The sequence below is a fragment of the Homo sapiens genome, chromosome 20 (assembly GCF_000001405.40).
Source record: "Homo sapiens chromosome 20, GRCh38.p14 Primary Assembly".
Classification (NCBI taxonomy): Eukaryota; Metazoa; Chordata; class Mammalia; order Primates; family Hominidae; genus Homo; species Homo sapiens.
Genome location: NC_000020.11, coordinates 869,254 through 884,856, shown reverse-complemented (window position 1 = coordinate 884,856; position 15,603 = coordinate 869,254). Strand labels below are relative to the sequence as shown.

Sequence of the window (15,603 nt, the reverse complement as noted above, 5' to 3'; positions counted from 1 at the left end):
CCCCTGCCCCTCTCTTGGCCTCAGTTTACCCATGGGTTTTGGAGGCGAGGATGAGGGCAACAGCAATCCAGACTGACAAGTTTGGTCTCCAGGATTCATTCTCCAGCCCCACTTTCTTGGGCTTGTCCTACCCCTCCCTGGGCCTCAGTTTTCCTGGCTGTAGAATGGGAGGAACTGGGAGGTTAGACTCAATGCACCCCAAGGACCTCTCTCATCTTAATGCCCCTGCCCCTAAGCCCAAGAGGGCCAAACAGAAGTGAAGAGGCATCCCTGGCCCTGGCTTCTGGGTCAAGAAAACAATTCTGGGCTGGGCTCCCAGGCTCTCACTGACTCCTTCTAACACGGCCTACTTGGGGTGTCCAAGGCATTCTTGGCCCCAGCTGCAATCACTCAGTCAACAAACATTTACTAAGCACTTACTGTGTGGCAGGCCCAGTGCTGGGTGCTGGGGATACAGCAGTGAATGCACAGTCACAGCTCCTGTCTCTTGCAAAAATGTCCAGTCCCTGGTTTACGGGTCCCAAAGGGAAGGAGAAAGAAATACATGGTTTTTGAGTGCATAATATGTGCCAGATGCTCAGCTATCAGTGTTCCTGAAGTTTCCAGACCATAAAAATAGACAGGTCCAAAGGCTGTGCGAAGGAGAAGGGCTCTTAGCCTGAGGCTAGCAGGGGGCATGGGAGGCTTTTGAACAGAGTGGGACTACTTTCAAGAAGCTCTGACTGGAACCATGAGTGGAGATGTCCTGATGAGAGAGAAAGACCAAAGGGGCTACTGCTGCTCCTGGATCCATAGTGGAAGGCTGGAAAGCCTTTAAGACCCAATAGTGATGGCGCTCCCGGCACCACCAGGGCTGACAGGGATTTGAGGGCAGAAGATTCCACCCTGGCTCCATCTCAGTCTGGCAGACCCAGCTGAGTAGGGGTTTGAGGCCTAAGGAAGCTACAGGTAGGAAAAGTAGACACCTTCCAAATCGCGACATGTGGATTAACCTGAACCTATTACTGGCGTATGCACAGACCTGGCCTTGAGCTGCCTGAATTCATCCCATGTGTGGGTTTCTTGTAGCTCAGCCCAAGGCACAGGGCCTGGGCCCAATGCCTCCCACTAACCCACTGGTAACCCAGTCCCCAGATGAGGCTGAATGTCTGCTCAATCGTCTGAGTAGGAGGTTGTGTTGGGCACCTCACCTTGGGCACCTTTTGCCCAAACACCCTGTCCCCCGTGCTCCACTATCACCAGGGAAGGACACTAGGCAGTTGCTTTCACCCCCTTCTGGATGGAGAAACTGAAGGAGAGGCTCAGTCACCAGGTGTAGAAGAGAGGGCTGGATGGAGATGGGGCACAGGAACCAGGCATCCTTGAAGTCTAGCAGGAAGGGAGCACTAGCTCTCTGCATGGCTTTGTCCCAGTCAGGTGGAGGCTAGTGAAAGGAGAAGAGAGTCAAGTCTTCTGATGTTCCCAGGCACTGGGGAGTTTGGTTCAGAAGGTTACAAGGACATGGGCACAGGCAGAAAAGACCAAACTTGTGCATGATATAAAAGCAGCGATTGTTCATGCAGGCTGTTTGCCCAACCTTACATATGCTCAGTGGTGGAAATCCAAAGGAAGATGTGTAGGAGGAAGGGCACTGGCTTTGCAGTCAGATGGGCCGGAGTTCAAGCCCTGGCTCCTTCACTTATTAATTAGCACTGGAACTTCATACAAGTCATTTATTTAACTTCTCAGAGCCTCAATTTTTCTTACTTGTAAAACGGGAATAATAATCTCATAGAGTTCTTGCACAGAGAATCGGATGAGTTCATGCATACAAAAGGGTTCAGCACAGTGCCTATGCACAAAAGCGAGGGAAACTGGTACAAATTACCAGCCCAGATATTCAGAGGAGGACCAGATCAAACTGTTGCATATCAATATCAGTCCATCCTATTCTTATGCCTCCCAAAAATATTTTTCCTGGCCCCAAACTACCCCTGGCATTACATGACACCTTGGAAACACTACAATACATGGTGAGTATTTCACTTTTTGTGTTGATATTATTGTTGTTATTGTTATTGATATTGTTGTAGACTAAGGAAAATAACAGTGAGCAGAGCCTTGGAAAGGGTGGCTGGAAATCTCAGGCCAACCCTGGCTCTGTCCTTGCCTTACTGGGTGAGGTTCAGCCCATCCCTGCTCACCTTGAGGCCAACAGCCTCCTCATGCTTGGCTGGACTCCAATTCCCTGTGGGGAGCTGAGGGGGTGCCAACAGGTGGGGCAGGGGTCTCCACTGCCCAGGAAATGCTTGTGAGTGAACTGGAATTGATTTGGGGGTCTTAGTCATCTCATTTGTGACATGAGAGCAATAGCCTTCTCTGGACAAGTGCCCCAGATCCAGGATCTGGGATCCCTGAAGTTCAGATGTAAAGCCAAACCAGGAAGTCCCACCCTGTGGTAGCCTCCTGGTTCCTCACTGGTGTTGACAACCTATCCATCTGGAATTTTAGCCCCATCCTGGGTACCTGGCTACCCAGAGAGATTGGATTCTGGTAGAATCATAGTTCAAACCTCTAACTGGATTCCACTAATTGAGACAGAGGAGATTTTAAATCTCTGCACTTTGTTTGTCAACAGTCACTTTTTCCAGGCCAGGCCTAGAAACCCCTGGTAGGTTTTAGTCATTAATACTATCCCGATCTCATGTAGTCCAGAGGGAAGAAACAGGGGCCCTTTAAGGCCAGCAGTCAGCTTCAAGGGAGGACAGAATAAGGGAGCATATGCCCAGGGCAGCAGGGAGATACAGCCAAAAGGGTGGGCTATGAAGGGGAGCCCACAGCTTCCCACCCAAGGGAGCTCCAAAGAAGGAAGGTTCTGCCTTACCTGGCTGTGTGCCCTTGGGCCAGTTGCCTCACTCTTGGGCCTCAGTTTCCTGGTCTGTGAAATGGGAAGTGCCTCACTGGAGTTCAGGCCCCAGTAACTCTCTCCCAGAAAACTCTAGCAGCCTCCTCTCTGGCCTCCCAGCTTTGAGTCTCATCCCCTCCAGGCCCCCCTCCACACTCTGGACAGAGTGCTCTTTCTCAGCCCAGAGAATCTGGGCTCCGCAGCCTGGCACTCACGGCTGACTTGGCCCTGCTGAAATCTCAGCTTCGTCTCTCCTTTTCCTTCCCCACCTTCTCTGTGCCAGCCTTGTTCTACCCTCTCAGTTGCATCATACAGCAAGCAGCCTCCCTGGTCTCAACTCCTCTCTCACGGTGTGAGTCATTTCCTCTCCTTGGCCTCAGCCTTAGTTCCCCTCCCCATGCCCTGTCCTCTGCACACACTAGGGCCCTTCCTACCTTGGGGCCTTTGCATATGCTGTTTCTTCCGCCTGGAACACCTTCCCCTTCTCCACTGGGCAACTCCTGCTCATTACACAGGTTCCAGCTTACTGTCACCTCCTCTACGAAATCTTCCCAGGTCTGACTCATCTCCCTGTCCCCAGCACCTCCCAACCCAGAACCTGGCACAAAGCAGGCAGGCATGCCCACTTGGCCCCTTCTCTCTTTCCTTGCCCACCTCCAACTGACTTTTGTGTTGTCCCTTTGCAGCCTTCATAATGGCAGGTGAGCAGGTGTTCCAGGACTGTGCAGAGATCCAGCGCTCTGGGGCCAGTGCCAGTGGTGTCTACACCATCCAGGTGTCCAATGCAACGAAGCCCAGGAAGGTTAGGGGGCTCCCTGGGAACTGTGGCTGTTAGAGGGTGCTGAGCCAAGGGCTTCCCAAACAGACACCCCGCACCCCATCGGGATCAGGCTTTGTCCAGTATCTGAAATACCAGAGGTGTAGGGGTGGCTTTGACTTCCCAGCAGTCAGGGATCAGATTGTGGGGATAAGCAGAAGTTCCCAAAGTTGGAAGTGCATCCTTAACCAGCATCACTTCAGAGGTGCTTTAACTGGAACAGCACAAAATAGTTCAGTGTTGGTTAAGATGATGATAGCTGATATTACAAACAACCCCCAAAATTCCAGGGCCTTAGCCCAAAGACGTTTCTTTCTAGTTTACATATAGTCCAGTTGAAGGCAGGAGTTGGGGTTCTGCTCCATGTGGGAAATTAGAAACCAGGGCTAATAGAGGTGCCACCATTTTCAATCAGTGGCTCCCAAGGTTGTCCTAAAATTTAAGGTCAAGTCATCCGATAAGAAGGGTGACAGAGAAGAGCACGGATGTCAGGAGGGAGGGTCTGAGAGCCAGGCCTAGAAGGGAAACAACTAGCAGATTCCTACTTCATAATTCCCTTTTTTTTTTTGAGACAGGGTCTTGCTCTGGTGCCCAGGCTGGAGTGCAATGGCATGATCACAGCTCACTGCAGCCTTGACCTCCTGGGCTCGAGTGATCCTCCTGCCTCAGCCTCCCAAGTAGCTGGGACCACAGACACATGCCACCATGGCCTGGCTAATATTTTTAAACATTTTGTAGGGACAAAGTCTCCCTGTGTTTCCCAGGCTGGTCTGAAACTCCTGAGCTCAAGCGATCCTCCCTCCTCGGCCCTCAAATTGCTAGTATTACCATTGCTCTATTTCCTTTCACCCCCTCTTAATATACTAAGGAGAATGCCTCTGTTTGTCTCCAGGTTGTCTTTTACACTTCTCACACACCTGCTAACCTCTCCTTTCAACAAAAAGAGGTCGAGCTTCCGTTTACCTAGTACTGCCAGGCACTGTTCTAAACACTTTACGTGACTCATCTCGTTTAATTTTCACAACCCCAGTTGGTAGATGAGAGACTGAGGCACAAAGAGGTTAAGGTATGAATCTCCATTTTACAAATGAGAGGAAGGCTCTGAGAGGTCATTCCTTACCCACCACTTTAGAAAAATGATGACAATGGGTGGGGAATTTAAGCCTGGATCTTTCTGATGCCCAGGACCCCCAGGCTCACCTGTTGCTCTGTGGGGGTCTGTCTGCTTAGCCACATTTGGGCTAGCACAGGCCTGGCCTCTGGCTACCTCCAAGGGCTCCCAGCTGTGCCTTGCCCACCCCCTCCAGGTGTTCTGTGACCTGCAGAGCAGTGGAGGCAGGTGGACCCTCATCCAGCGCCGTGAGAATGGCACCGTGAATTTTCAGCGGAACTGGAAGGATTACAAACAGGTAGCCCTGCTGCCTTGGGGAGGGGCCATTCTGCTCTGAAACCTGGGGCTGGGGCTGGGCTGTTGGAAGGGGACTGCTTTGCCCTCATTCCTCCCCCAGAAAAAATCAACTCATCTAAAGCTGACAGTGCACATCTGCTTTATGGGACCCCATCACCTGAATTTGAATGTTCTTTCTGAAAGTTCTGACATATGTTCTAAGAAAAAAAGTTTAGCTTTATTTTTGTTTTAATTTTTTTTAAAAAAATACATATACATTTCTAATTTTTTAAAGAATACAAAGGAGGAGACAGAATAAAAATCCCCCCAGTCAACCCTGACTGCGTTGCTTTAATGAAGTTTCTTGTCTTTTCATACGTCTATGATCATATCTGCAGGAGAGATTCATTAACGAGGAATTGCAGGCCCAAAGATCACATGTATTTTATCAGATGAGAAGCCCGATTGTTTTCCAATTTTTTAATTAGGTTTTGAATAAAGGATTTTTTGCCAAGCTGACTTAAAATACTTAAAAGCTCTTAAAGTTTTCAAAGCCAAAGAAATAGAAAAAGATACCCACAAAGTGATACAGCAGTTCTATTATTTGCGTCTGCTTGCTGTTCATTTAAGGAATACTTAAAAATAAATACCAAATTAAGTTATGAGTGTTTTGAACTAATTGGGCTTTAAACAACCATTAAAATGGCAAGGAGGAATAGGGTGTCCAGGTGCAGAAATACACAAAAGAACCCTGAATATTAACCATCAGGCTAACCCGCATTGCATCGTGACTAAATTGGGGAGCGGGCCTTGGGTGTGCCCCTGTCCTTGGTGCTGAATTCTTGTTCTGTCCAAGGGCATTGGGACATGACATTCCCCACACTCTCAGTTTTACATTTCTGTGTTGCTGAAATCTTGCAGTGGCTGCGCTGTCACTGAACAAAGTTTGCTCTACTATTTATGTAGCTGATTGAAATATTTTATTTAATTTTTGTTGAGGTTTAACGTACATGTGTCTAAGCGCACAAATAAAGTGTAAGGCTCAGTGAGCCTTTAGATATGTATTTAACCACGTGACCACCATTCAGTGCTAGATGTACAACACTCCCAGCACCCCAGAAGCCCACTTTGTGCCCCCTCCCAGTCAATACTCCACCAAAGGTAGTCACCAAATATTACTTTTTCCTGTTCTTGAACTTCAGAGGAATGTGATTTCAATAACTTTTAACAGGCTTTTACACTTACAAAAGCCTTAGTCTTTTCCCTCTAGCAGGTGGAGGGCTCCTACTCCCAGTCCTGCCTACACTGTACTTATGAACTCGATCATTAAGCACAGTGGTTTTGTATAAGTAGCCCTGGAGCCTGGCCCAGCCCAGCTCCTCAGCCAGGGACATGGCCTCCTCCTCAGCATGAGTCTCACCCCACGCTCCCCTCCCTATAGGGCTTCGGAGACCCAGCTGGGGAGCACTGGCTGGGCAATGAAGTGGTGCACCAGCTCACCAGAAGGGCAGCCTACTCTCTGCGTGTGGAGCTGCAAGACTGGGAAGGCCACGAGGCCTATGCCCAGTACGAACATTTCCACCTGGGCAGTGAGAACCAGCTATACAGGTGGGTTCGGGGCCCAGGCCGTTGTGGGGGCTGGGGTCTTCAGCTAGTGGGCGGGCTGGGGTCCCCAGGCTAGTGTCTACAGAGTCTGCTCCAACGGTCAGTCTCTGGGTGTCTCCTGTTCCTACCATCTGTCCCCCATTTGGGTGCACGTCATGGGATCTGGAGGTGGCTGGTTAGCACTCAGCATGTCCTAGCCACTGGGTGGAGTGGAAAGAATGTCATTGGTGCTGCCATCCGAGGAGCAAGAAGGGGTCTTCCAAGGTCAGTCACCCCAAGTCAGCCTTTTTACAGAGACCCAGAAGCAAAAGGAGGTGACTTGCCCAGCCTGTCCTATGCCCTGGGGCTGGGTGGAAGGGTCCCTGGGCCAGAAGTTGAAATTCCTGCACTCATTGTGGCCTTGCTCCAGCTTGCTTTGGGAACTTGGACAAGTCAGTCTGGCTTCTCTGAGCTTCTGCTTCTTCAATAGCAGGATGAGCTTAAACATGACGATCTTGTAAGATCATCAAGGTTTCTCACCCCTTCCTCAGCCTGGTTCTTGGTATATTTGGGAAAAGGAACTAGCATTTATTGAGCACCTACTGTGTTCCAGGCACCATTATTCCATTTAATCTTCCCCACAACACTTTGAAGTAGGCATTACTGTACCTACTTTAGTAATATGGAAACTGAGATGCCAAGTTTAAGTATCCTGCCCAAAGTTACAAGTTAAATGAGCTGGAATTTGAACTCAGATCTCCCTGCTGTCAAAACTCATGATGTCTCCACAACATGATATTGCCTCTCAGAGAAATTTAAGGATCTTTTAGATAAGCCTGGGTCCTGGCTATCTCTGAACCAGGATTCACACTCACAGGGCTGCAAAAAATCTCACGTGTCATCTGGTTCTTCATAGATTCCCTCCATAGTTGCAATCATCATCCAGCCGTGCTGGAATACCTCCACTGGTGGGAAGGTCGCTTCCCCACAAGGAATCTCTGAATGACTCTCTGTCCTCCTGAACTTTATGCCTGATTCCACTTCTGGGAACTTCTCAGTGATATGCCCCCACTGTTTCCTCCAGCTGAGTCCCATTTAAGCCACTGGCCACCAAAGCAAAGGCTTTTTTGAGGCAGGGTCTCACTCTGTTGCCCAGGCTGGAGTGCAGTGGCATGATCACAGCTCACTGTAGCCTTGACCTCCCAGACCTCCCAGGCTCCAGTGACCTTCCCACCTCAGCCTCCCAAGTAGCTGGGATTACAGGCATGCACTACCATGCCCAGCTGATTTTTGTATTTTTTATAGAAACAGGGTTTCCCTATGTTGCCCAGGTTCTGACATCCCTCCTTATGGGATCCATACCAACCTGATAATGCAAGGTCCAGAGCTGAATGAAAAATTCCCTGGATGTCCCCCTACTCCTCACACCTGACCAGTGAGTAGCTACAACACTATGCTGAGTCCCATTTAAGCCACTGGCCACTAAAGCAAAGGCTTAAATCCCGACTCCATCCCTACTTCCCTGAGTGACCCTGAGCAAGTCCCTTCACGGTTTCATCTGTAGAATGGGTGCTTTAGGCATACCTACCTCAAAAAGGGTGTGATGAGGCCTGAATGAGATACTGCACATGAAGCATTAACACAGTGCCTGGCATGTAGTAAACGCTCAGCAAACAATATTACGATCACTGTCTCGTGGCAGCCTTTCACACCCTTGACTGGACTGCTTTCTGGGAGCACGGCTGTTCCCATCCCCAGACATAGTAAGTGCCTAAAAGGAAGCTGAGGGAGCCTCCCAAGTCTTTTCTACACAGAGAATAATTAAGTCTCATTTCCCTGGCGACAGACACAATCTATGACTGGAGGTGTGGGGACTGAGCCAACCATATACCCAGGCTCTGTATTCCCTCTGAATTCCCACTGGGGAATTTCTCAGGCCCTGCCCTGAGGGTACAAGAGCTTCCTTGAGCTGCCCTGGCCACATCTGCCACCCACTTGCCTCCACCCAGCAAGACCTTCTTTTTTTTTTTTTTTTTTTTTGAGACAGGGCTTACTCTGTTGCCCAGGCTGGAGTGCAGTGGCATGATCACAGCTCACTGCAGCCCTGACCTCCCAGACCTCCCAGGCTCCAGTGACCAGTGACCTTCCCACCTCAGCCTCCCAAGTAGCTGGAATTACAGGCATGCACCACCATGCCCAGCTAATTTTTGTATTTTTTATAGAAACAGGGTTTCCCTATGTTGCCCAGGCTGATCTCGAACTCCTGGGCTCAAGCAATCAGCCTGCCTCAGCCTCCCAAAGTGCGGGGATTACAGGCGTGAGCCACCCTACCCAGCCTCAGCAGGACCTTCTTAATTGCTCCCAAATTGGCTCCCTACTTCAGCTGCCAGTGCAGCCTCCCCCAACCCTGCCATACAAACACCCCGCATTCTCTCCAACCAGGCCCAGCCATCTGCCAAGGGCCAAATAATAACAAGCACTGAATGTTGAGCACTCACCCCGTGACACTGCTCTGCACACTTCACACACTGACATCACCAAATCAATAATAAACGAGGGCAGCACTGCTAATTTCACTATCATTACCACTGGAACAGATGAAGAAACTGAGGCTCAGTGGGGTGAGCCAATCCTCCAAGGCCATGCAGCTCTAAGTGGTAGAGCTGGAATTTGAATCCAGGCTTTCTGCCCCCAGATCTCATGGTCTTCATCACCAGGCAGGCTTGGACATGCCCACCAAGGCCACAGAGCCTGGCAAAGAAATAGAAATCCTCACCTGGCTGGCAGCAGATGTCGAAGCTGCAGAGCTGGGGTGCCCTGGAGCCCAGATCCATGGGGGCTGGTGTAGTCAGGGAAGGCTTCTTGGAAGAGGTGGGTGAATGTGAGGAGGTGCGATGGGGCTGGGGTTGCCAGATCATCATCAGCTGGGGAACAAAATGCACGTAGACTCCCAAGTCAGGCCACACTAGGCTGGCATGTGGCTCTGACCCTCATTCATTCTGAGACTTGAGCAGGTTTCTTTGGCTCTTGGGATTTCTGTTTTCGCATGTGTAAAATGGAAATAGGGTGTTGTGAGGATTAAAGGAGAATGAGTTAACCTATGCAAAGCACTTTGAACACATAGTAGATGCAAAGAATAGAAAAAAAAGAAAGAAAAAGAAACGTTGCCGGGCACGGTGGCTCACATCTGTAATCCCAGTGCTTTGGGAGGCCAAGGCAGGCAGACTGCTTGAGCTCAGGTGTTCAAGACCAGCCTGGGCAACATAGTGAGACCCTATGTTTGTATTTTACAAAAAATACAAACATTAGCTGGGCATGGTGGCCCGTGCCTATTGTCCCATTTACTCAGGAGACTGAGGTGGGAGGATTGCTTGAGCCCAAGAGGTCAAGGTTGTAATGAGCCGTGATTGTGCCACTGCACTCCAGCCTGGCAACAGAGCAAGTTGCTGTCTCTAAAGAAAAAAATGTATATGTATTAGCCATTATTATCATTATTGTGACCATTATCACTTCTCTCCAAGACTCAGGTTCAGTGAGATAGGGGAGGCCTGGCATACAGTAAGTGCTTTGTCCCTGGGAGGCAGCAGGCAGGGAAGGCAATCCAGGAAGGGAAACAGCCCAAGCACTCCACCCAGGCTGGGGCTGTCCCTCCAAGAACACCTGGAGGGGAAGCCCAGCCTGGGACAAAGCCACTGGGGAAGTTCTTGCTCGACACAGCCCCAACCTGACTCTGGGCCCTTCTGCCACCACCACCTCTGGGTGGCCTCCAGGCTTTCTGTGGTCGGGTACAGCGGCTCAGCAGGGCGCCAGAGCAGCCTGGTCCTGCAGAACACCAGCTTTAGCACCCTTGACTCAGACAACGACCACTGTCTCTGCAAGTGTGCCCAAGTGATGTCTGGAGGTAGGTGCAGGGTGGGGTGAAGCTCCGCCCACCCACAGGCTCACCCAGATTGACACTCCCATTCCCTCCCCAGGTTCTTGTGCGCCCAGGTGCTGTCAGGAGGATGGGTGCAGGTCTGGGCCTTGCCCACCCATAAGCTCACCTGGCTGTGCCCCTTCGGTGCCTTCCCCCATTGAGTCCTTGAAGTCCCCTCCAGGTCTCACCTCCTCCTAAAGCTGGCACCACCAGTTTTCCTCAGAGACAAGGCTAAAGAAACACTGAGTGCAGGGCCCCGGGGGGGAGGCACCCTATACCCTATCAGTCCCAACCCCAGGCAAGCCGAACCAGGATCAGGAGACCAGAGGGAGGCAGAGGGGCAGCTCCACACCAGCTGTGGCTCAGGCAGTGTTCCTTGGTAGGCACAGAGGTCAGAGAACAGGAAGTGGGGTGAATGGGAGACAGAGACAAAGTAAGAAGAACAGAGACAGGGGGAGAGACCTTCTGAGACACAGAGGACAGATGGAGAAAGAGAGAGACACCAAGGCTGTCAGAGTCATTGAGCAGCAGATGGAGAGCTATACTGGGGCAGAGAAGTACAGAGGGAGATGGGGGAGAAAGACTTAGCCCAAGGAGAGGCCGGGAGACAAACACAGCATGTGAAAGATGGGGGCCCAGAGGAAGGGAGGGCCAGAGACACGAAAGGCAGAGAGGGACAAAGACCATCAGAGAAAGATGAACACAATGGGACACACAGAGACAGACCCACGCACAGAGACCATAAGAGAGAAAGAGATGAACCTGGAGAGTGAGAGACTCAGAGAGAGTGACAGAGACCACTAGAAAGCAGTGAGCAGAGCGATGAGGGGAGGTTGGGGAGCTGGAAAGACAGGTTCAGTGAGGGAGGAAGACAGGGACGCCAAGGGCTCAGGGAGAAGGCCGGGAGGAGCAAGGGGGCTCGAGGAGTGGCCAGAGCCCCTTGCTGCCCTCTAGAGGCCCCGGCTGAGCAGAGGGTCTGTTGTCCACCCCACCCCCACTCCCACCCAGCCCCATCCCCAGCCAGCTGGCTTCCCAGAGGAGGCAACAGCCCCGATTAGTCTTTGTTCTCTTTGGGACACAGGGGCTGCCCTCTTGCCACTGGCTGGGCTCCCACCTCCACCAAGCGCCTGTCCTCCCTCTTCCACCAGGGTGGTGGTTTGACGCCTGTGGCCTGTCAAACCTCAACGGCGTCTACTACCACGCTCCCGACAACAAGTACAAGATGGACGGCATCCGCTGGCACTACTTCAAGGGCCCCAGCTACTCACTGCGTGCCTCTCGCATGATGATACGGCCTTTGGACATCTAACGAGCAGCTGTGCCAGAGGCTGGACCACACAGGAGAAGCTCGGACTTGGCACTCCTGGACAACCTGGACCCAGATGCAAGACACTGTGCCACCGCCTTCCCTGACACCCTGGGCTTCCTGAGCCAGCCCTCCTTGACCCAGAAGTCCAGAAGGGTCATCTGCCCCCCAACTCCCCTCCGTCTGTGACATGGAGGGTGTTCGGGGCCCATCCCTCTGATGTAGTCCTCGCCCCTCTTCTCTCCCTCCCCCTTCAGGGGCTCCCTGCCTGAGGGTCACAGTACCTTGAATGGGCTGAGAACAGACCAAACTTGATTCCCATGACCAATGGTGGGGTTGCAGGCAGGTGGGAATGTATTTGCACATCGGAAGCTGCCCAGATGGCCCAGGTTCTCTCCCTTGGATTGGCAAGAAGGCCATCTCCCATTCTAAGCTCCTGTTCCAAGATTTTCTAGTCTTGAGATGTCCTTGAACTTTCTTTTCAAGTCTGAAGGGGCTGCATCCACCCCTTAGTGGGTGGGTTAATCATTATTTCCCCTTCACACTTCACCACTTCTAGGTTCTAATGACCCTAGATCTCAGGGTCTTTAGACTTCACCACTTCTAGGCTTTACCACTTCACCACTTCTAGGCTCCAATGTTTGGAGCTCAGGGTCTTTAGGAGACCCAAAAGGACATGCTCCTTCACCTCCAGCATGTCCTAGAGGATGTGTCACAGGGAATAACTATGGCTTGTCTCTAAAAGTACCTATGAGCAATGAGAAAAGGAAACAGCAGGTTAAGTCAAAGTGAACAGGCACTCTTCACTGCAGGACTGATCAGAGCCTTTAATATGGCCAAGTGCCTTGTGACTACCCATGAAGGGGCTAGAGTGGGCAGCTTTCTCCAAATTTACTTATTTGAAAATGGGCTCGGTTTGTCCCAGAGCATCTCACAGGACTGTAGATGCTCTTGGACAAAGCTAGTGCTCCCCTGGCATAAGGAGGAGCCCTACGACCCCATCCCCACCCCAGCTATACTCACCCTTTTTGGCTACAAGGGCCACAGTGACAGCCTCAAACAACCTCTAAAAACAACTGGAAATAACCTTTCAGTTAAAACAGATACCATCCCTGAAGAAGGGTCTAGAACTAGGTCCCTGTCTGTGTTATAGGCTCATGTCCTCCAAGGCTCCTTCAAGTCCCAGGAAGCTGATCTCTACCTGGGTGGCTTCCCTTAGGACTCCCTGTAACCTCAACTCCCCCAGGCTCAATTACAGGGACTGTTAGGCAGGACATCTGTCTCCAAGTCCAGATCCTCTCTGCCTCCAAGCCCTAACCCCTAGCCTCCCTCCCTTCCCCATCCAGCAGTGATGCTGCCTCTGTGGTGGTAGGTGGGGAGCTGCAGGGGAGGAGATAAGGCCTCTGCCTGAGTTTGGGAGACCAGGGCCCTCATAGCTTCTTTCAGAGGATGGAGTCAGAAAGGATCCACAGCTACTCTGTCACCTGCCCCCATCACTGTGTCATGCTGTCTGCCCTGTTGTCATCAGCCAACACCCAGGCATAGCCAGGAGCCCACCTGCCCTACCGCCAGGATACACCTCTGTCCTCAGAAGGTTTTCTCCTGGATGAGACTGAGCCAATGGGAATGGGACCCCTTCATCCCCCTGGCTCGCCCCAGCCCTGAGTCCCACTCTCAGCCGATCCCTGAGTAAACCCAGCACAGACTGACTTTGATCTCATTCCTGGGAATTAGCACTCTTCCCCTTCAAGACTCAAAGGACATGGTTGCTAATGGTGGCATTTCAGGCATGATGGGAAATCTTTAGGGGCAGATTGCTGCCCAGAGAGCTCAAATCGCCTTAAGCAGCATTTGCCCAGCAGACCTTTATTTAGCCTCTACTGTGTGCAGTGTGGTGTGGTGGGCAGGGCTTTGGAGTCGGACAAACCTGCTCCAGCTCTGACACTTTGGTCCAGTGGCTCAGCCTCTCAAGGCACCAGTTATCTTCACATCATCAAAGCCTCAGTTTTCCCATCTGTAAAATGGAGATGATAATATTCCTTCCTGGCTGGGCTATGGCAAGGAGGAAATGAGACCATGTATGTCATCTTCTTAATAGAGCCTGGCATGAAGCAGGTGCCTAATAAATGTTTGTCCTCAAAGAGGAGAATGGGGTGAGGAAGGCATTCCCCAGCACATGCCGCCCCTTCTCCTGCACTCAGGTGAGGAAAAGGCATTTTATTTTTGTATCCACATCATTTATTTTTCTATTGTAGTTTCTAGGCTGACTGCAAGCTAGAGAGGAGACAGGGCAAAGCTGTGAGGCCCAGGGACAGAACTCCTCTGGGTGGGTTGAAGGCCCAAGTCCCTCTCTACTCCCATTTTATAAGGGGGCAGGAAGCTGATTTGAGTTATCCTCAGACACCTGTTCTTTATGTAATTTTATTTTATTTTTTTGAGACAGAGTCTCACTCTGTCACCCAGGCTGGAGTGCAGTGGCATGATCTCAGATCACTGCAATCTCTGCCTCCTGGTTCAAGTGATTCTCCTACCTCAGCCTCCTGAGTAATGGGATTACAGACGCCTACCACCACGCCCGGAAAACTTTTGTATTTTTAGTAGAAACGGGTTTTCACCATGTTGGCCAGGCTGGTCTCAAACTCCTGGCCTCATGTGATCCACCTGCCTCAGCCTCCCAAAGTGCTGGGATTACAGGCATGAGCCACCATACCCAGCCTCAGACACCTGTTCTTAAATATTCATCCTTCTTTCTTACCTTCCTTCCTCTTCCATGCCAGGACTCAGGTATAAGGGATAGAAATTCTAGCCCTAAGGAATAAATTGACTCACATAACTGGAAAGTCTAAGGGTAAAGGCAAGTGAGGTTAGATCCAGAGGCTCAAATGATGTCAGCTCCACCTCTCAGCCCCTCCATCTGCCCCGTTGACTTCATTCTCAGCCAGGATCTTTCCTCACAAGAAGGCTCTGGCAGCCCCAGGCTCATGTCCTCCCAGCTCAGCATCCCTGACCCGGGGAGCTCCCTCGTCTCCATGATTCCAGTAAAGGAATGATTTTCTGCAGCCAGGATTGGTCTTGTGTCCATCCCTATGCTTATCACTCTTACTCTGCTTGACCAGACCTCGGTCTCATGATCATGCCTGGCACCAGCAGTGGGGTCAGTGACACCCAAGTCATGACTTCAGGAAACAGGGATGCTAGGCAGCCTTCCCTCGTTCCCTGTCCCTGGCTCTCATCTCTCTTCTCTCCACCTCTGTGCCCTCTCTCGGCCTCCCTGTCCCCAGGTCCTGACCCCAGGATCCAGTTCATCCCAGATTGCCTCTGACTATCAAGGGCACAGCTGTGTCCTGCCCAGGAATATTAGACCCTGTTATCAGTCTGGCTCTGCCATTGGATCAGAGCCCCTGGCCCTCTCTGAACCTCAGTTTCCCATGGACAGAGCACCTAGCAACCTCTGAAAGCCCTTCTGACAGTGAGGCTGACTCACAATGGCTGCAGACAAGACCAACCTGAGGATCCTGGGCAGCACAAGGCACTGTAGAGGGCACGGCTGGTGTGGTCTCGAGCCTAGACTGGGTCTCCTGGGGGCCACAGCTCATAGGTGCCAGCCTCTAGGATACCTGCATCTGCGGGTTCCTATGGAAAACACTTGTCACCTCTCCCTGCACCAGGTTAGTTTTCTTCCCATTTCAGTGATGAAGAAATTAGGCAC

At 51.3% G+C, this 15,603-nt stretch overlaps 1 protein-coding gene and 1 long non-coding RNA gene across 4 annotated transcripts in view, besides 4 other annotated features; one reads left to right on the top strand and one right to left on the bottom strand.

Moving 5' to 3' along the window:
• The window catches only part of ANGPT4 (angiopoietin 4), a 46,435-nt gene extending 31,478 nt beyond the window's left edge, over positions 1 to 14,957 (top strand). For 2 of the 3 annotated variants that reach the window (XM_011529239.4, NM_015985.4), the window contains 5 exons: positions 3,571 to 3,686; positions 5,009 to 5,110; positions 6,530 to 6,696; positions 10,443 to 10,573; positions 11,737 to 14,957. In XM_011529239.4, the coding sequence (XP_011527541.1) occupies positions 3,571 to 3,686; positions 5,009 to 5,110; positions 6,530 to 6,696; positions 10,443 to 10,573; positions 11,737 to 11,897 (677 nt within the window). In that variant the 3' untranslated portion in view covers positions 11,898 to 14,957. The remainder of the gene's footprint in view (positions 1 to 3,570; positions 3,687 to 5,008; positions 5,111 to 6,529; positions 6,697 to 10,442; positions 10,574 to 11,736) is intronic. The other variant, NM_001322809.2, reaches the window with a different exon arrangement.
• Positions 5,814 to 6,014: a silencer, noted in NCBI's record as "peak4114 fragment used in MPRA reporter construct". NCBI's record gives its function as "represses an SCP1 promoter by STARR-seq MPRAs in K562 erythroleukemia cells {active_cell/tissue: K562}" and the evidence as "EXISTENCE:reporter gene assay evidence [ECO:0000049][PMID:32103011]".
• LOC124904854 (uncharacterized) lies at positions 8,692 to 13,905 on the bottom strand. Its single transcript, XR_007067485.1, has 3 exons — positions 13,822 to 13,905; positions 10,716 to 11,960; positions 8,692 to 9,708 (listed from the first exon to the last, which is right to left on the bottom strand). It is a non-coding gene; the product is annotated as an uncharacterized LOC124904854 (long non-coding RNA).
• Positions 10,267 to 10,336: an enhancer, noted in NCBI's record as "active region_17448". NCBI's record gives its function as "activates an Ori minimal core promoter by ATAC-STARR-seq in GM12878 lymphoblastoid cells {active_cell/tissue: GM12878}" and the evidence as "EXISTENCE:reporter gene assay evidence [ECO:0000049][PMID:35858748]".
• Positions 11,337 to 11,837: an enhancer, noted in NCBI's record as "H3K4me1 hESC enhancer chr20:853663-854163 (GRCh37/hg19 assembly coordinates)". NCBI's record gives its function as "activates a minimal SCP1, AML or CMV promoter by ChIP-STARR-seq in naive H9 embryonic stem cells {active_cell/tissue: H9 hESC(naive)}" and the evidence as "EXISTENCE:reporter gene assay evidence [ECO:0000049][PMID:30033119]".
• Positions 11,838 to 12,338: an enhancer, noted in NCBI's record as "H3K4me1 hESC enhancer chr20:853162-853662 (GRCh37/hg19 assembly coordinates)". NCBI's record gives its function as "activates a minimal SCP1, AML or CMV promoter by ChIP-STARR-seq in naive H9 embryonic stem cells {active_cell/tissue: H9 hESC(naive)}" and the evidence as "EXISTENCE:reporter gene assay evidence [ECO:0000049][PMID:30033119]".
• Positions 14,958 to 15,603: the final 646 nt, after the last annotated feature.